Source organism: Homo sapiens, chromosome 4 (assembly GCF_000001405.40).
Source record: "Homo sapiens chromosome 4, GRCh38.p14 Primary Assembly".
NCBI lineage: Eukaryota > Metazoa > Chordata > Mammalia > Primates > Hominidae > Homo > Homo sapiens.
In genome coordinates this window covers 158,687,278-158,708,290 of record NC_000004.12, presented here as the reverse complement: position 1 = coordinate 158,708,290, position 21,013 = coordinate 158,687,278, and the positions used below count along the sequence as shown (strand labels likewise).

The window sequence follows — 21,013 nt, the reverse complement described above, 5'->3', positions numbered from 1 at the left end:
GAAAGAGTAGCCACAGAAACCTTAAAGGTTGCTTTCTGAATGCTTACCCATAGAGATTATGAAGACCTTGGTGCATTGCTATTGATGTGAGTGTAAATTACATGTACATAATAAAAGGAGGTACAGCGGTATTCAGCTGAGTTGTCTCACTATCAAGGGTACTCGACACTGAGTGTTTGAGTTCCACACAACCTCGAAGTCCTCCCTTATTCACAGTCATCCTCTCATTCACAGGGGACAAGTTCCAAGATCCCCAGTAGACGCCTGAAACCTCAGGTAGTACTCAACTTACATTGTCAGTCAGAACACGTTTCTGTTCATGTATTTCACCCACAAATGTGATGCCTTTTCCATCTTAAGGAAGCACTTGCCACACTCTGGCCATAACTTCTACAGTTCGAGGTCCAACAGCAAAACGCACAAATTTCTTTTTCCTCTTTCACAGAAGATACAGTCTTACCATAGACCTTAGCAACCTCAGCATAGGATTTTTTTCTCTTTATAGAGAACTTTCTCCTTTCACTTAAAGGAAGCACTTTATGGCATCTCTGAATTGTCAGCATCACTACTCTTGCGTTGTGGGGATATTTCTAAAGGGTTACTGGACACAAGTATGATAATGTGACAGTAAATCTGATAACTTAGATGGCTACCAAGTAACATAACGAATGTTAGGTGTGAATATGCTGGACAAAGGGATAATTCACATTCAGGGTGGGGCAAGCCCGAATGGTACACAATTTAAAACTTAACGTGCACAATTTAAGACTCAAGAATTATTTGTTTCTGGAATTTTCTTATTTTCAGACCGTGGGTGACTGGGGGTAAGAGGAGCCTAACGGTACAGCTAAAAAACCAAATTTAACCTCAGGGAGTTTTCAACCCACTGTAATGACAAAAGCCAAAAGACCAAGTCACAGTGTATCTTCTTTTGTGAATGTACTACTTTTCGAGTATCGGAATACTATTTTGTTCTACCATATCATTTGAGACCTGGTTCCTATTACTGTAATTTCAGTTGAAAGCTCAGCACTGAAAGAATATTCATGGTGAATTTAAAGTTTCAGAGCATTCCTTGGACTGAATGTAATCATAATGTGCTGTTCTAGTACATGCACCCAAATACATACAGATGAGCTGCCATGACAGAAATGACTTTAAATAGTCACATGAACCTGCAAAGAGAGGTATTTCATTTTCAAGAATCTTCATCTTAGTCTGAGTGTAGACAAAGGGCTTTTTTTTTTTTTTTGAGAAATGTTATCTGAACTAGGCTTAACAAAACCAGTAGTTAAAAGTATGTTTCCTAAAGGAAGCTGGATGAAGTCATTTACAATTTCTAAGGAATGGAAGGAGATACAGAAATCATTTTTTAAAAGAACAAAATCACATTCCTAAAATGTTTAAAGCAAATATTTAGGAATAGATGGAAATTATTACCTGCAGGACAGAATCGCTGCTCGGGCCCATCATATATCGACAGATTTCTATTTACAGGTATACTGTCATCCCTTAAGGTTAAGTGTGCCGGCTGGTCATGTTCATGATTAGTACCACTCAGAGCCACAGATGACAAGAGGTCAAAACTGATCTGTCCATCGGGTTTTGGATACTCAATAGGTGTGCAATCCTTGGCTGGCTTGAGCCGTTCAAAGTCAGAACCTTCAACAATTTTGAGGGAAATGCTTAACAAAATATGATTTTGAAGTACTTTTTCTTAAGCCTATTTGTATAAAAACTTCAAAATATTATCACACCAAAGAAATATGACTAGCCCTCAAGTAATAATATACTGTTCTTAGACACTAAATTTATAATTTCTCCAAGTTGAAAACATTAAAACAATCACTTTCTCTAATTAACAGATCCCATTCATGAATTTTTAATGATCATGTCACTCATACTCTTGTTTGAATTACCTTTATGTTTCAGAGTCCACGGCTCCATTCCTCTCAATATCCAGTAAAAGATTCCAGTGTAAATCATCCCTCCATATACACCCAGTACTCCGTGGCAGGACGGTCTTATATTTCTAACAGAATATAGCTCTTTCCATACCCATGAGTTCTTCAAATTGTCCTCATATTCAGTTACATGGAGTCCTTTTATTAAAAACATGAAATGTTAAGTGCGAAACTGCCCAAATGTGTGTAAAATACGCTAAGTATTTTGCTACTTTGATAGCTGATGAGTGAAGTTTTTCTTTTTTCGAGACAAGGTCTTGCTCTGTCACCCAGGTTGGAGTACAGTGGTGTGATCATGGCTCACTGCAACCTCCACCTCCTAGATTCAAGCCATCCTCCCACCTCAGCCTCCTGAGTAGGTGGGACCAGAGGCACACGCCACCACACCCTACTAACTTTTGTGTTTTTGGTAGAAAGAGGGTTTTGCCATGTTGCCCAGGCTGGTCTTGAACTGCTGGGCTCAAGTGATATGCCCGCCTCAGCCTCCCAAAGTGCTGGGATCACAGGCATGAGCCACCGCACCTGGCTGATGAGTGAATCTTAAGTAATTTTTTAAAACATGGTCCACAGTGAAGGCTCTTTCATGTATAAATGTTGGCATCTTCCAAAAAGACAACCATTAGATATAGATATGTTATTAACAGGCAGTAAGGCATTTGATTTCTTACATTGGTAGCATGGAAAATTAGTTTCAAATTTTAGTGAAACCGAGAAAGAAGCTTTAAGATAAAAAGTTCATGCTACCTGTAAGAGTGAAGAAATTTCATAATTTACAACTCAAACTATTTCTACCTGCTATGGGTTGAAATATGTCCCCCCAAAATAGGTTTTGAAGTCCTAACCTCCAGTACCTTAGACTGTGACCTTATTAGTGGCTGTAGATATAATTAGTTAAGAAGAGGTCTACTACAGTACAGTGGGTCTCTAATCCAATATGGCTGGTATCCTTAGAAGAAGGGACAGAACTGGGCACAGTGGCTCTAGCCTGTAATTTCCAGCTACTTGGGAGGCCAAAGTGGGAGGACTGCTTGAGCCAAGGAATTTGAGATTGCAGAGACCAAGGATTGCAGCACTGCACTCCAGCTTGGGCAACAGAGAGAGACCCTGTCTCTAAAAACAAAAACAAACCCACCACTTCATAGAGAAAACTTGGTGCATGCACTTAATAAAGAGGACAAATTGGTTCCCTTACGGCTTTTGGTGGACTCCACATGACTACTTTTTCCAGTCATTGTTTCCTGTTCTGGCTCCACTCCCCTTTTCTTTAGGCTTTAACCCTCAATCTAGTCTTTGGTGATATACTGGCTCCAGTATTATCTATGTGTGGTACTATATACACATGATACAGTTCAAGTATGGCTGGTGGTCCAACAAGGAACGATACTTGACAAGAAAATTAGAAAAAAACTTCTACCCAGCCACTGCACTCCATCTTGGCTATTCCATTCTCCCTGAAGTAGTACCCTTTGCCCTTTCTGTTTTCCACTTCATCTCCCCACGCTAGGCCTCCATTCCTACAAAGATTTGAAGGCATAACCTGGTTACATACCTCTAACTAGAGGAACATTTACTGGGGATTCTAAGAATTAAGACTCATTTATCAAATATCTATGGAGTCGCTACCGTGTGCCAGGTATGTAGGATTCACACTAAGCAATACCTCTAGTCTCGGAGTTTTCATCCAAGTGGCAGAAGACAAAAGTTGATAAACAAGTAAGTAATATAATGTACCAAAAGGTGGAAAATGCGCTAGAAAAGGCCATGCAGGGGGAACTGGGTGTGTGCTGTGTGTTGTGCATTAATTGGTGTGGTCAAGGCAGGGCCACTGTGAGTGCTATTTAAACAAAGGGAAAGAGAACAAAGGAGCCAGCCGTGAGCAAAGACCATGAGGTGGGAGTGCTTGGCATGTTCTGGGAACTGTAAAGAAGCCAGTGTGGCTGGAGTTGGTAAAGGGTCTTTTTAGATTAAAGCTTTACGGAGGTATAAGTGCTGGCTGTTTCTCTCCACCACAGCAGAAGAGTCATAGGCCTATACTTACAAAGCTTGCTAAAGAATAGGTAGCTAATTCTGCCTTTTGTAAAGGTGTTTGTTCTATTGATACTTAGGTATTTGGGAGGTATCTTAATTGTGTGTATTACATGTATGCAATATAAATGCAGTACTGTCATATTTGTAATAGTTTCTAACTAGGTGGGACACCACTGGTTCTTTTCTTTTTTGTGTGTGGGGGATGGAGTTTTGCTCTTGTTGCCCAGGCTGGAGTGCAATGGCACGATCTCAGCTCACTGCAACCTCCACCTCCCAGGTTCAAGTGATTCTTCTGCCTCAGCCTCCCAAGTAGCTGGGATTACAGGCACCCGCCACCACACACAGCTAATTTTTTTGTATTTTTAGTAGAGACGGGGTTTCACCATGTGGGCCAGGCTAGTCTCGAGCTCCTGACTTCAGATGATCCACCCGCCTCAGCCTACCAAAGTGCTGGGATTACAGGCGTGAGCCACCGTGGCTGGCTACCACTGGTACTTTTCTACTTTTTTGATGTGAATAAAACAGAACATTACAGTAAAAAATCACTGACTGTAATTATTGAGAATAAGCCATGTAGTTTTCTTTGCATAGCATGCTTATTAATACTTTCTATAAAGTGACAGATGCAATACAAATCTTTTAATGTCAATTGAAATACACATAACCCAGCAATTTTCTTTTGTATACTTTACACAGGAATTTCTTACCTATTGTCTTTGATTGGAGATTTTCACTAGTTAGTTGATTAAAAATAGATTCTGCTGCTAAAATTCCACTTTTCATTGCTGTGTGAGTACCTTTGATCTTGGGAACATTCATAAAACCAGGACTACAACCAATTAGTAAACCACCAGGAAAGGTGAGTTTTGGTATAGACTGAGGAAACAAAGATTCAGAATACATTTGTTAGTTCATATTAAACAAGAACAACAGAATACTCCAAATCAGTCTTAAAGTATTCTAGAGCTGTAGGGAAAGGCTGAAAAATAAATACATGAAAATGAATTGAGCAAAGGAATAAAACAGAGCAAGGGCAGTTTTCTTCTTCCTGCCCTAAGAGTGAGGATTAAGACTATTACTATTTTTCTGTGAGAGTTTTTCTTTTTCCATCCTCATAACTGATCTACATGGGACAGATTTATGACTGAAGCATCAATATGTTTTAAATAGAATGTTTTATTTACACATATCCATGTCATAGTTAAAATATTCTCTAAACCTGAATGCTGTTATCTAAATTGTGATTTGCTTGCAAATCAAAACCACAATGAGATACCATTTCACCCTAGTTAGAATGGCTATTATCAAAAAGACAAAAAACTTACTGGTGAGGATGTGGGAAAAAGAAAACTCACACATTGTTGGTGGGAATGTAAATTAGTACAACCATTATGGAAAACAGTATAGAGGTTCCTTAAAAAAGCTACAAATAGAACTACCCATATGACCCAGCCATCCCACTATTGGGTATATATCCAAAAGAAAGCAAGTCAGTATGTGGAAGAGATATCTGCACTCTCATATTTATTGCAGCACTATTCACAATAATTGCCAAGATACGGAATCAAACTAAGTGTCCATCAACAGATGAATGGATCAAGGAAACATGGTATATATATACACAATGGAATACTATTCAGCTGGAAGAACAAATGAAATATTGTCATCTGTGACAACATGGATGAGCCTGGAAGACATGTTAAGTCAGTCAAGCACAGAAAGAGAAACACCCTATGTTCTCACTCATATATGGAAACTTAAAAAGTTGATCTTATGGAAGTGGAGAGTAGAACAGTGGCTACTAGAGGATGGGAATGGTAGAAAGGGATGCGGGGCGTGGGGGCGGGATATGGAGATTGGTTAATGTATACAGAAATACAGCTAAATAGGAGGAATAAGTTCTATTGTTCTATAGCACTGTAGAGTGACTATAATAAAGAATAATTTGTTATTTTTTTCAAATAGAAGAAAGATTTTAAATATTACCAACACAAATGACAAAGGTTTGAAGTGATGGGTATACTAATTACCCTGATTTGATCATTAAACATTATACACATGTATGGAAATATCACATTGTATCCTCTCTCCCCCCAAAATTAAGTGGACCTGAAAATTTCAAAGGGCATATAAAAAAAAAAAACCTGTGATTTGCTTTTACATGCATTCGGGGTAATACAAGACTTACAAAGGATACTATACACCCTCTTTATTTTACTTTGACAGCTAGGGATAGAAACCTATGCTCTAATCATGGCACCACTGCAACTAGCTACTACCCTAAACAATAGATTTTGATTAAGGACAAGCTGAATTTCCAAAATAAAATAGATAAAGACAATTCTTTGGATCTTGGTATACATTTCTGATTAAAAAAAACAATGTAATAAGGGTGGGATATTTTTCAGTTTAGACAATAAATGTCCATATGTAGCCCACAATATGGCAACTGAACTATAGATTGTTTGCATGGGAAAATGTACTCTTATAGTTTGAAAAGAAGAGAGCCAAGCAGCGTTGTTCTTTCCACATTCTGTATTTTTTTCTTCTCTGAGGATTTCCTAAAGTAAGCCATGGGGTCTTTGTTGAGAAAATGGTGAGTGGTACATTTGGCTGATGGTATTAAGAGGGACTCAGAGGAGGGAGCTAACAAGAAAACTATTGACACCAACTGCAAAAGAGACATGGTGAGCACTCTGTCGCCACAGCTCTCATCAGTGATACAATTCTGTGAGGGAATAGTGGTGAAAAGCAAAACTAGGGGGCAGAAGGAATGCTGGTAAGAGAGAAGGATCAGGGCCCAGGTCCTTTCACAGTATATGTGGGGAATGAATTTATGACTGTGGTTCTCAGACCAAACTCAGGATTAGGACCACTTAGATAAAAGAGCATTAAATCAGGACCACAGAGCAGACAATGGGGAGGAGGTGCTATCTGGAGTGCTACTAGCTGAAAACAGATAAAGATTAGGGACTTAGATGATGACAATGCTTTTCTCAAATAAGGCTGTGGCTTTGTTGACACCAAGTTCGATTCAAGAACCAGAAGAATGTGAAATTTAATAAAAGGATATAAACTATGAGTGCAAGTTCTTCCAAAATAGGTGCTTAAATCCTAAGAATAAAAATATTACGCCCAAGGAAAATGTATGTTTTTAAGTTCTAGGAGGATCCTACCTTGGGTGGGCTGGGTTACTAGCAGCTACGCACCTTGTTTGGGACATTCATTAAACTAGGGCTACAAGTAATTAGAAACCTACTAGGGGAAGATGATTTTTGGTATAGTCAGCTGAAGAAGGAGAAAAAAGTTAGACAGTATTTGTTAGCTCAAAATAAACAAAACTGAATGTTTCGAATTGTTGCCTCTTCTTTTTCTTTACCTAAATGGGAGCCACTTGGACTGCATCCTTTCCCTCTCACTCTTCCTAAGGAAGGATAAAACAATCATCAATGCCGAATGGCAGCTGAGCAAAGCAACATCAAGAGACGGGCGGCATCACACTTGGGAGAGAATACTGCACTTTCCTCGTGGTTTCTGGTGCTTGCTACACCTTCAGAGAAACTTCTGTAGTATTGAACTAGAGAAATGATCCCTGAAAGTATAGTCTTTGTTGCCTCTTAAGGTCTTTAAGACCTTAACTGGAAATAAGTTTCTGAATCTCTGGCCAATGAAATCAGAAAATTCAGGTGAAAAGTAAGTGTGTGTGTGTGTGTGTGTGTGTGTGTGCGTGTGTGTGTGTGTGGTGGGGGGAGGGGAGAGTCATCTCCTGTCAATTTGCAAATCATTTGACATGTTTGACATGCTTAAGTACACAAGGTAGATGGTTTTCAATAAAAATCTGGGTGTACTATTGAATATACTGAAACCTTTATAAATTAGAGTAGGGTTAGATTGACAGTAACTATTATGGACATTATTTTTAAAAGTTTAATAGGCTTGAATACAGTTATGTAATTCAATACATATTTCTACCAAAGGAATTACTACTCTAGAAACAAAAACAATCTCATGAGAAGTAATCTCATGACAGACTTTGGGGACAGCATTATTTTAAGATTCTAGTGATTATATTTATAATGTAGCTATGGTTTTGAGTTTATGAAATACTATTACAGTAATAAAGTATTTAGAACCTCACTTTTAAAGATAAGGCAATTTCTCCTCCCCAAATTTTCCTATTATCTGTTACTTTTATAATAAGTTTTTAAAAAGAAATCCAATTTCTAAGATAGTCCTAGATTCCTAGAATATTAGAGACAGAGGGATCATCTTTATTTTACAGATGATCTCTTAAGGCCAAAGTTAAAGAACTTGCTCCAAATAATTTGGTACAAGCTTTAGAGCACATTTTTAGATCATCTTACCTGTATGATAACATTTCTACAACAGTATTAACAGCTTTTATGACAATTAGCTACTAGGTCTTATTTCATTGTTTAATACATACTGAATACATTATATTTGAGAAGATTTTGAATGTATACAAAAATAGGACAATTAAGGTAAAAGCTTAACAGAGGTAACCTAAAAGGCATGAATGTTACTAGGTAGTTGGAATGAATGAATTATGTTTGCTGAAAACTAAATTTGCCTTTGAGTTTCCTGGCAGTTAAGGAACAGAGAAATATTATGGATTACAGTTTTTATTTTCTGGTTAAAACAACTAACAAACAAAATGTCCATGAATTTATCTCTAGAGATCAATATATTATTTTTTGCTTTTGTTTTTGAGATGGAGTCTTATTCTGCTGCTCAGGCTGGAGTGCAGTGGCACAATCTTGGCTCACTGCAACCTCCACCTCCTAGGCTCAAGTGATTCTCCTGTCTCAGCCTCCTGAGTAGCTGGGACCACAGGCGCTCGTCACCATGCCTGGCTAATCTTTCCATTTGTTGTAGAGATGGGGTTTCGCCATGTTGCCCAGGCAGACTACCCAACTCGGCCTTCCAAAGTGCTGGGATTACATGTATGAGCCACTGTGCCCAGCCTAATATATTCTTAAAACTAAATTCATGGTGTAATTGAAGTATTGTGTGACACAGTTTTATAAACTCTACATACTTTTCCTATTCCAATATTGTTTTTATTCTTTATCTAAATTTGTTACATTATATGTTCAATTCTGAATTTATAATACAGAAACAAGGAAAATAAAAGTTGGAAGAGTTACCTGAAAGCCACCTTCATTGAGAGCTCTGGCTCCGTATGCAATCCTTTTTCCACCTTCCAAGGTTGGCCGAATGCTAGGATGGTGTTTCCACCTTTGGAACTCTCTAAATGGACTCAGGTATGGATTCTGATAGTCTAGACCAACCTTAAAAATTTACACTTATATTTAATTAGACATTTTTATTTCAAATTAAATCAAGCTAAAATGTAAGCAATGTTTATCAGAAAACATGTAGGTTAAATTTCTTTTACTCAAAAGTATTTGGAGCACTATGTGCAGTAATCCAAATGTAAATTAAAAATTGTATAAAATCTGTTTGGAAAAGAAAAGGTAAAGAAAAGGATAGCATGTGTTTATTATCATCAAAATTATGAGAATTTAGAACATATTAAGAAATCCTTGTGCTCTGGAACTCAAAGTCCAAATTAGAAAAACAATCTATCATGAGATTAGAAAATAAAAATGAACAACAACAAAAAAAACAAATTAGAACAATATCTGTAGGTAAGCATCTCAGATTATGTTTCTATGAAAGGAGCTGTAATGATTTATTATACATTAATCAATACCAATTTGAAAGAAACTAATAATCTATACTACAGTACAACTGGGGCAAAAATAAAGAAAAAGGATGTAAACTACACTCAGAAAAAAAGAGGAAAAGAAATATAGAAGGTTATATTTTATAATGCATTACCAAAGTGTTAAAATTAACTGCATCTTTTTCCTTTGATACAATTAAGTCACAGGAATAAATATCCAAAGGTGATGGGATGAACATTGGACTGGGGGGTCAAAAAACACCAGTAACACATAAATTTAACAATGTATCATATGGAGGTCTAATCATGACACTAAACTATAAAGCTGCCACCAGTTGCAAGGTACAGAAACTAATTTTTCCATTCTTTGTAATGTTCAACATGTAATTTACTGCAAAGATGTGTAGGAGGCCAAAAAAGGAGAAACTGCTGGTATTTTTAAAAAGTTCTAAGTTCAAATCTAGTGCTGATTTCATTTTCAGTGGTAGCATGCCACAGTGGAAATGGGATTTGAGGTCAGACAAGGTCAGGCATTTCTGCCTGTTATTTAATGGGTGTATATGGGTAAGTTGTTTAACTTATTTGGACTTCAGTTTTCTCATCTGTAAAATAAAGATATACCTATTTCACAGTTATTATGAAACTTACTTAGAAATCTCAGAAAAGCATCCAGCACAGTGCCTGGAGTGTAGCAGCTACTATTGCTATTGCTACGTGTGTTTAGTAGACTTAATGACACAGCAGCCATAAGCACTTTACATATTGATAAAATTAGAAAGCTTTAAATAAAAAGCATTTTACAGTCTTCAGATTCAAAACCCTTATTTTATAACACTGATGGTAATATAACTCTAGCAGCAGAATTTTCCCTAATGGGAATATAACTTACCACAAGACCAAGAGCTACTAGGGGTTCACCTTCATTCAAATGATAGAGGAAAGATCCTCCATAGGTATGTCTGTCCAAGGGCCAACCAACAGTGTGATCTACTCTCCCAGGTTTCCAGTTCTTTTCATCAATAACCCATAACTAAAAAAAAAAAAAGCAAACAAAAAAGTCCTGCAGTATTTTAAAAATGTTTTTATGTCACCACAATGCATAAAACTTGCCAGGTTTAATGTCTTATTTATGAAAATTACAAGTGAAAAACTGTGATATAAGAATACAACAAAATTACTTCAAATATCAAAGAAGGCTGGGCACGGTGGCTCACGCCTGCAATCCTAGCACTTTGGGAGGCTGAGGTGGGCAGATCACTTGAGGTCAGGAGTTCGAGACCATCCTGGCCAACATGGTAAAACCCTGTCTCTACTAAAACTACAAAAATTAGCTAGGCATGGTGGCGGATGCCTGTAATCCCAGCTACTCAGGAGGCTGAGGCGTGAGAATTGCTTGAACCCGGGAGGCAGAAGTTGCGGTGAGCCAAGATCATGCCACTGCACTCCAGCCTGGGTGAGAGAGCATGACTCAGTCTCAAAAAAAAAATAAAAAAATAATAAAAAAGAATACAGGTGGATCACCTTGAATAACAAAGAAAATTATATCAAACTGCAGCATGAGTCAGATTAAAGAAACAGGTCAGAAAACTTATGAACTCTTTAAGACATTAAATAGATTCTCAAATTGGTAAAGACTTTTATACAATTATAGGAAATTAGGAAATCCTACTGAAAGGCTGAGGGAAAGTTCTGCGGTACTGGTAGTGTTCTCTATCTTCATCTGGGTGACAGCCACATGGATATGTTCACCATGTAAAAATTAATGTAGCTGTACACTTAAGGTCTCTTCATAATGGACATGTATTCTCCAACAAAGCAATTTATTCCCTCTACCCTGCCCCCCACAATTGAAATAAATTGTTCACCCTCTTTTCAGACTGGTAAATTTTAAATTCTGAACAATTTCTATCTGAAATTTTATCTAAGTCAGATAATATTATGTGCAATCAGACATATGCAATCTATCAAAACAAACCCTTATTCACAATATAATGAATCTAGTTTTATATAGACTTTGAACCTTTCTGAGATTTAACCTAAAATAAATTTTTTGTTGTTAATTACTATATTCTTTTTTTTTTTAGAGATAGGATCTCACTCTGTCACCCAGGGTAGGGTGCAGTGGTATGATCACAGGTCACTGCAGTCTTGATCTCTTGGAGTGAAGTGGTTCTCCTGCTTCAGCCTCCAGAGTAGCTGGGACTACAGGTGTGCACCACCACACCTGGCTAATTTTTAAATTTTCAGTAGAGATGAGGTCTCACTACATTGCCCAGGCAGGTCTTGAACTCCTGGACCCAAGCAATCATCTTGCCTTGGCCTCTCAAAATGCTGGGGTTATGGGTGTGGGCCACCATTGCTAGCTCCACAAAAATATTTAAGCAAAAGGGTTATAATGAAAATTTTACATTTACATTCTAATAAGCCTAGGATTTGGGAAAATAAGACTAGAGAATGGATAAATTGAGAAAATGTACAATGCATAACCTAATTAAATTTTAGGTTGCAGATTAATATACTATGGCTGAGTGTGTCTTTCATAAAGAAAATTAACTTCACATTACAATTTTGAAAAAAATAATTCTTCGTAGGATGTGGTCATCCTACAAACAGCATATGGATAACAAGAACAATCCTAACAGGGCAGATGGCATTACAATGAAAATAAAAAAGATTCAAATATTCACAAGTTCAAGATTCACTTCAAGCAACACTTGATACGACAATTCCAACATGTAAAACTAACTTAACCAGTAATATAATTTGATCAGTAATATCTTCTAGCCCCTTGAAAAATATCGCAAATAAGTTTTAGTCATAATGAACATTTCAAGACAATGAAAAAATATAACTAAAATTAAATCAGTATTATAAACTACCTGATAATACAAATAAATTTAAATTCCATCTTTCAAAATTAAAATTACAGAAACAAACCAGGATACCTCCTTCAGTCCAATCCCGTAGGTTTGAGGTTCACAATTTGCTCTCAAATCAAACTTCTTATATAGTTGCTTGGCTAGATGTCCATGGCAACCTTCTGCAAAAATTGTGACTTTAGCATGTAGTTCCAGTCCTCTCTCAAATGTTGCCTGAAAAGCAAAAACATGTTAAATGGCAACATTTGACAATTTAAAATACATTCACATTCTGGTCAGATTTAAATTGAACTATGATTCAGATGTAGAAGAGACAGTGCAAATGTATAATATTATAAAGAATCACATAGTAAATATATAATATATAGAATCATATAATCTTACTCTTCTCACTTAAAATACCTCATGGAAATCTTTTCAAGTCACTGTATAGCTCAAATCTTTCTCTTTAATGACTAGGTAGTAGTCCATGTAGAGAGACAGGATAGATTATCCAGCTCCTCTGCCAATGGATAATAGCCATTCACTGTTTCCAGCTTACGCATGAACATAAACAATGTTATAAGATACAAACACTCTTGAATATATATTTAATATAGAGCTGACCCTTGAACAAGATGGGTTTCAACTGTGTGGGTTCACATATACAAGGACTTATTTTTAACCAAATGAGGATTGAAAATACAATATTCACCAGATGTGAAACCCGAATATATGGAAGACCGATTTTTCATATATGTGAGTTCTGCAGGGCTAACTTTGGGACTTGAGTATGCATGAATTTTGGTATACTTGGAGGGTCATGGAGCCAGTCTACCGTGCACACCAAGGGACACCTGTATACACGTACAATATTGGTGCTTTTATTCCTATAAGATAGATTCCCAGGAGTGGCCCTCTTAGATCAAAGGGTACATCTATTTTTTTAAAATTGATATTATCATATTACTTTCCAAAAAGCCTGAAGCAATGCATATATTTCCATCAGTAGTATATAAGACCCTTTCCCTATAGTACAGTTAGTGACAGATATAACTGTTCCTTTTACATTTTTGCTAGTGTATCAAGTGTGATAACTATTTTATTTTTTAATTTTTTAATTTTTTTTTTTTTTTGAGACAGAGTTGTGCTCTTGTTGCCCAGGCTGGAGTGCAATGGCACAATCTCGGCTCACTGCAACCTCCGCCTCCAGGGTTCAAGCTATGCTCCTGCCTCAGCCTCCTGAGTAGCTGGGATTACAGGCACCCGCCACCAAGCCCAGCTAACTTTTTGTATTTTTAGTAGAGACAGGGTTTCACCATGTTGGCCAGGCTGGTCTCGAACTCCTGACCTCAGATGATCCACCCACCTTGGCCTCCCAAAGTGCTGGGATTACAAGTGTGAGCCATGGTGCCTGGCCCTCAATACTATTTTAATTTGCATTTCCCTGATTACTATTTTGAGCATCTTTTCTTTTTGATTCAAGAAATAGTGAATGAATACCTACAATGTGCCAGGTTCTGTGCTAGGCATTGGGAATACATGGATGAATTGAAAAAAATATACGTTCCTTTTCTTTGGACTAGCCATAGACAGACAGACATTAAATAAATACATGAGTATATAATTACAAATTGTTTAAGTGCTATGAAAGAGAGCAGAGGGTATTACAAGGGAGAATAATAGAAGCCAGCTATTCTAGATTGAGTGATCAGGAAAGTCCTCTTTGAAGAAATGACATTTAACCTCTGGACTCTGAAAAAAACATATTTAAGTATCTTTACTTATGATTAGTGGTCATTGGAGTTGTTCTTCTACGAATTGTTAATTTTTTAGACTCTACCCATTTTTCCAATGTGTTGTCTTTTTTCTTGTCGATGTTTAAGTGCACCTTGATATTACAGACAGTCAAACATTTACAGACTTTATAGTATACTTTGGTATAAAGAAGTGTTTAACTTTTATATATTAAGTTAAAAAAGGTTTGTCTGTTTTTTCACAGGTTTTTAGTATCTTGTTGCGGTAGGGTGGCTTACCCTACACCAAAATTGTTAACTGTCATCTCTTAGATTTCTGATTTGTATTGTTTTAGATCTTTAAATCACCAGAAAGAAACAACCAGCAAACCGGGGTCCAACTCTATTTGCTTCCAGATGGATATAGTTTCCCCAGCACCACTTATAAAACAATTCAATCTGTATGAACTAAAATATTCATGAACATATTTCTGTTTCTTCTTAGAGGTAACATGCCCTTTAGTGTTCAAGGGACAGGCCGTGGAGCCACACAGCCTGTATTCAAATCCCAGCCCTACTACTTACCAGGTGTCTGACCCCAGCCAAGTTACTTAACCTCTGTAACTTAAAAATGTCCAAATCAGAATTCTTATGATAAGATGCATATTGGAGATAGGAACCAAGAGAAGGCTGTAAGAGAGCCAAGTCAAAAAAGTGTTTCAAGAAGGAAAACATAATCCAACTGTGTCAAGTGCTACCCACTAGAAGGTCAAGTAAGGGAAAACAGAGACCTGTCCACCAGATTGGCAAAATGGAGGTATTTGTGACTCTAACAAGAGCTGTTTCAGTGAAATCGCAGGGAGAAAGCTTAGCTACAGTGGGTTAAATAGAGAATGGAACAACACCTTAAACAGAATCTTTGATTTTCCCCACTCTAATCTTGTGGTAGTACTATTTTTAAAAACTTAGATTTTGGGGCTCAAATTACTAAGACTCCATTGTACTCTTCTATGCTATTAGATCTGTATAAATACAACATACAAAATGTAAACGTTTTTACAAATGCAAAGCATAAAGTTAAAAACCATATATATATATATATATGTTTTTTTTTTTTTAATCTTTTTTTTTTTTTTAGATGGAGTCTCACTCTGTCGTCCAGGCTGGAGTGCAGTGGTGCGATCGTGGCTCACTGCAACCTCTGCCACCTGAAATAAGCCCATATTTGAACAAATGAGAACACACAAAAATGAAATATCAGAATGGTAGAATTTGTGTGCTTCAATTTTGTTATAATATAAAATATAAAAATATTTAGACTAAAATATAATTTATAATTAGTCATAATATAGAAAAGAACCGTAATATATGAAAAACCATATTCTTTTACTGAGAGGCAGTATGAGATAACAGTTCTTTACAAACCTGGCTATGCATCGGAATCCCTGGAGGCTTGTTAAAAAACAGCTTCTTAGGCCTTACTGCAGGACAGGCTGAGCCCCAAGATGTCACATGATTCTGATGGGGTCAGTTAAACCACTAGGAGTCCCAAACAGGATTTGCCATTTGCTTTTTTTTTTTTTTTTTTTTTTTTTGAGACGGTGTCTCGCTCTGTAGCCCAGGCTGGAGTGCAGTGGTGTGATCTCGGCTCACTGCAAGCTCCGCCTCCTGGGTTCACGCCATTCTCCTGCCTCAGCCTCCCGAACAGCTGGGATTACAGGCGTGCGCCACTACGCCCGGCTAATTTTTTTGTATTTTTTTTTTCAGTAGGGACAGGGTTTCACCGTGTTAGCCAGGATGGTCTCTATCTCCTGACCTCGTGATCTGCCTGCCTCAGCCTCCCAAAGTGCTGGGATTACAGGCGTGAGCCACTGCGACGGGCCGCTATTTGCTTTTAAAGCAGGAAATGTGAGAAGGAGAAAATCTGCTGGAAGAGACTGTAGATTCCTAATTCTATTCCAAGAGTGGCAGAGAGGAGGATAAACTATCAGTTGACACATATTTACTGATACCTAATAGGTACCTGGCATTATGCCAGGCACTAGAATAACCCCAGGATCTCCATCCTTAGGGAGCTTATAATCTAGTTGGGAAATTGGATAATAAATAAACCTGAATAGGCAGGTTAGTTGATTGAGATGTTAATTTGTGTTTTGTTCATATTATAGGACAGCAAGCTATTTTTTTCCTTATCTTTTCCAAAGAGTGAGAATTCTATGTTCTAACGGTTTTGCTTTCAGATTCAAAAATACAAGATGTGAAAACCTGAAAATTATCCAGGTTTATATTTTGAATGGGAGGTGGAGAATCAGTTTTATATCTACCAAAAGATGTTAAAATCATGTCAAAGTGCTTAAGAATACTGTGATAAAGGCCAGGCACGGTGGCTCACGCCTGTAATCCCAGCAATTTGGGAGGCCGAGGTGGGTGGATTACTAGGACAGGAGTTCAAGACCAGCGTGGCCAACATGGCAAAACCCCATCTCTAATAAAAATACAAAAAGTAGCCAGGTATGGTGGCGCACGCCTGTAATCCCAGCTACTCGGGAGGCTGAGGCGGGATAACTACTTGAACCTGGAAAGCAGAGGTTGCAGTGAGCCAAGATTGCACCACTGCACTCCAGCCTGGGCAACAGAATGAAACTCCGTCTCAAAACAAACAAACAAACAAACAAACATGTCAAAGTATATCACTATTTACCTACTGATAGTAATGCAAAATGATTCTTGTCCAAAGAAATGAAAATTGTGGAGAAATAAAAACTGTGGAAACTATTTTCATTTGATGTATTTGGTTAATGCAGTGGATTGATGGCCTATAAATGTGTATATGTTTGAATTCTCCTTGCACTGGTTGTAACATCTTACTGATTCTCTCCTTAACTAAATGAAATAAAATCTTTGACATGTGTTTGACTTATGTTTGTATATTTGTATGTTATTATCTTTTAAAAAATTTTTAAACATATTATAACTACTTGCCTAAACCATTGTTAGCTCAAAGTTGCTTCTATATTTTTTAATGAAAGAAAAATTCCATATTAATTACTGTATTCTAACACCCACATTTTTTGACATTTTAAAAATTTTTATTTATTTATTTATTTATTTATTTTGAGACCAGGTTATAAGACTGGCTAATTTTGTATTTTTGATAGAGACAGGGTCTCACCATGTTGCTCAGGAAGTTCTCAAACTCCTGGGTTCAAGTGATCTATCTGCCTTGGCATCCCAACACCCATATAATTAATGTACAGTTTGTAGCAAGACCTTTATTAAGTCAAAGTTGGTTCTTTCTTCTTCTTTTTTTTTAAGACAGGGTTTTGCTCTGTCACTCACCCAAGCTGAAATGAAGTGGCGTGATTATGACTCACTGCAGCCTCGAACTCCTGGGCTCAAGTGATCCTCCTGTTTCAGCCTCCAAAGTAGCTAGGACTACAGGTGTATACCACGAAGCCCAGCTAATTTTGTTTTCTTTTTTTGGAGAGATGGGGTTTCACTTTGATGCCCACACAGTTCTTTCTGTTGTTTGTCGCTTTATTAAGCACGTAACTATTAAAAAGGTTTACCTTTGGTGCACCATCCTTTTGTATCCCTACATCGTTAGTGGCAATTCCTTTTACACTACCATCATCATGAAAAAGGACCTAAAAATGATAAAAAACAAATTTATTAATACCTTAGAATTCATAATAATCTTGAAAAAAACAGTAAACAGCCTTAGGTTTCTTAGAAGGTGAACATCTTCTCTAGATTATAGAAATACAGAGTTTAAAATGTTCAGGTAATAAAGAGACATGTATTAAGGTACTCCCTTCCAGAGTATTAAAGAACAGAGCTCGCACAATGGGAAATGAAAACAATGCCACAACCTTGATGAGAAAGAAAAGGGGGAGACTACTAGAGAGATTACTAGGGAAACCAGTAAGATTAAACAAGAAGTGCCCTTCAGATGTCAAATCGTGTAAAGAATCTGAAATGGAGGCCTGTAACACATGAAGAACATGAAGGTGGAGAGAAACTGTCAGGAAAGCTTACATCTCAAATGAGTGAAGACTTCATTCAATAAACAAAAATAAAACAAAACAGGGAGAAGCTGAAGACAGACCAAGGATGATAAAAGTTTATTTTTGGAGCAAGAAAAAAGGGGAAAATAGGTCAAAAGTGTAATTCTGATGAGGAGAAATAGCAATAGTCTGTAACCCTTGGTTTCTGTTTTCTCTGTGGAGGAAAATGCTCGCTGGATAGTAAAGTACAAAATGTACAATGCAATTACACAGCAGATTGTAAGAAAGCATGGGCATGGAGAAGTACAAGAAAAGATTAGCAGCAATGGATATGAACCCACCCCCCCACAATATATATATATATATATATATATATATATATATATATATATGAAGGTTTTATTTGAGATCCTGAAAACGAACAAATCAACAGCAGAATATGGCTACAGACTAAACTGAAGTTTGGCTCAGTGTACCCTCAAAAAACCCTGGCAAAGAGATCAATAATCTGTTGATGGTAATCATTAAGGACCCGAGAAAAAGAAAAGTGATACAAGTGACTATAAGTGTTCATGTATGTATTCCAAAAGTGAAAATCATGGATTCTACAAACCACCTACCTGTGACTTTGACACCGATTCCAGTCAACAATGTTTAACAAGGAGAAATGCAAAATCCCACACTTGGGTCCAAAAACCCCAAATGCATGTATATGGGTTAGGAAAACAGAAATTTATAGCAGCAAGTATAATACAGGGACCTACGTGTTTTATTTGACTTACAAACTGTAAGGGTAAAAACAAATAAAAAAAACTGAATTTTCCTTGCTGCCAATAACTTTTCTTTCAGCATTTCCTTTAGCAAACTTCCAACTGTAAATCCTTTATTTGTCTCTCTGAGATACATGGCAGTCTTTTTAAACTGCATTCCAGGAATGTCTTTTTTAGGGCTTTGGAGCCATTGCTTTGAAATGGAACACCAAGAAGGATGCCTCCTGTCTTCCTGTGTCTATGGGAATTTGGGTAGGTGTTTGGCTCTAAGTTGTAACTTCCTGCTTGTCAAAAAACAAAACAAACAAAAAAACCAACAACAAAAAAACGAGATATTTTATTTTTCCTTAGAGTAAAAACAGTTAACATGTATGTAATGAATAGATTGTATCTGTAAAAACAGTTAACATGTATGTAATGAATGGATTGTATCTACCTGGCTATTTAAAAGGGTGAGATTTCTGTCTTGGCCTGTGATATGCATCAGTCTTGGTTTAAGCCTAATTCAAGAATAAAACTGTTTCGTTCTTTTTTTTTGTTTTTTTGAGATGGACTCTTGCTCTGTCACCCAGGCTGGAGTGCAGTGGCGTGATCTCGACTTACTGCAAGCTCTGCCTCCCGGGTTCACGACATTCTCCTGCCTCAGCCTCCCAAGTAGCTGGGACTACAGGTGCCCACCACCACGCCCAGCTAATCTTTTGTACTTTTAGTAGAGACAGGGTTTCCCCATGGTCTCGATCTCCTGACCTCGTGATCCGCCCACCTCAGCCTTCCAAAGTGCTGGGATTACAGGTGTGAGCCACTGTGCCCTTTTTTTTTTTTTTTTTGAGACAGAGTCTCACTCTGTTGCCAGGCTGGAGTGCAGTTGCACCATCTCGGCTCACTGCAACCTCTGCCTCCCGGGTTCAAGTGATTCTCCTGCCTCAGCCTCCTGAGTAGATGGGACTACAGGCGCCTGCCACCACACCCAGCTAATTTTTGTATTTTTAGTAGAGAGGGGGTTTCACCATGTTGGCCAGGATGGTCTCGATCTCTTGACCTCGTGATCCGCCCACCTGGGCCTCCCAAAGTGCTGGGATAACAGGCATGAGTCACTGCACCTGGCCTGTTTCATTCTTTTTTATAATTTATGAAGAGAATTTTTCTGGGTCCTCAGGCGATTTTATTTTTTATTTTTTGAGATGGAATCTCGCTCTGTCACCCAGGCTGGAGTGCAGTGGCATGATCTCGGCCCACTGCAACCTCTGCCTTCTGGGTTCAAGCAATTTTCCTGCTTCAGCCTCCCAAGTAGCTAGGATTACAGGCACGTGCCGCCATGCCCGGCTAATTTTTCGTATTTTTAGTAGAGACGGGGTTTCACCATGTTATCCAGGATGGTCTTGATCTCCTGACCTCGTGACCTGCCTGCCTTGGCCTCCCAAAGTGCTGGGATTACAGGCATGAGCCACTGCGCCCGGCCAAGATTTTATTTTTAATAATTTCCCCAGTAATGCATAATAAGAATCAATAGTGTGATGTAGTTGCCAAAAAAGTAATTACTTTGAGGGAATTAATGGAAGACCAGTTTCTAGAATGGAGAAGATAACAGTTCTACACTAGACATGAAGTGGTTTATTCATTCTGGGTGCCACTTTGTAAAGGGGGTAAGAAGAGGTTCCATTCAGAAGTGGGCAGCAAGAATACTGAAAGAACTCAAAACTCAAATTATGTACCGTCATGGCTGAAAGCACTGAGAATATTTAAGCTAGTGCTGGGGCTCTTAAGATAATACCCTAAAAAGTATGTCCCTGGCATGCTGATGTTGAGGCTCAGAAACCGATATCCCAAAATATGGTGCTTTGACATGCTGAACTGAAGAAGCTTCAATGTCTCTCTGACCTTCCCTGGCCAACTGTCCCTGTCTCTTAATCGTCTGTCTCTCCCAAAGCACAGGATGAAGT

The 21,013-nt window shown here is 37.7% G+C and overlaps 1 protein-coding gene and 1 non-coding gene across 4 annotated transcripts in view; both read right to left on the bottom strand.

The window, feature by feature from the left end:
- The window catches only part of ETFDH (electron transfer flavoprotein dehydrogenase), a 37,328-nt gene that overhangs the window by 1,333 nt on the left and 14,982 nt on the right, over positions 1-21,013 (bottom strand). For all 3 annotated transcript variants that reach the window (NM_004453.4, NM_001281737.2, NM_001281738.1), the window contains 7 exons: positions 17,866-17,943; positions 12,648-12,794; positions 10,592-10,732; positions 9,161-9,304; positions 4,700-4,868; positions 1,920-2,102; positions 1,441-1,662 (listed from right to left, as the gene is read on the bottom strand). In NM_004453.4, coding sequence (NP_004444.2) covers positions 1,441-1,662; positions 1,920-2,102; positions 4,700-4,868; positions 9,161-9,304; positions 10,592-10,732; positions 12,648-12,794; positions 17,866-17,943 — 1,084 coding nt within the window. The remainder of the gene's footprint in view (positions 1-1,440; positions 1,663-1,919; positions 2,103-4,699; positions 4,869-9,160; positions 9,305-10,591; positions 10,733-12,647; positions 12,795-17,865; positions 17,944-21,013) is intronic.
- LOC124900922 (small nucleolar RNA U3) lies at positions 7,382-7,600 on the bottom strand. Its single transcript, XR_007058556.1, has one exon. It is a non-coding gene; the product is annotated as a small nucleolar RNA U3 (small nucleolar RNA).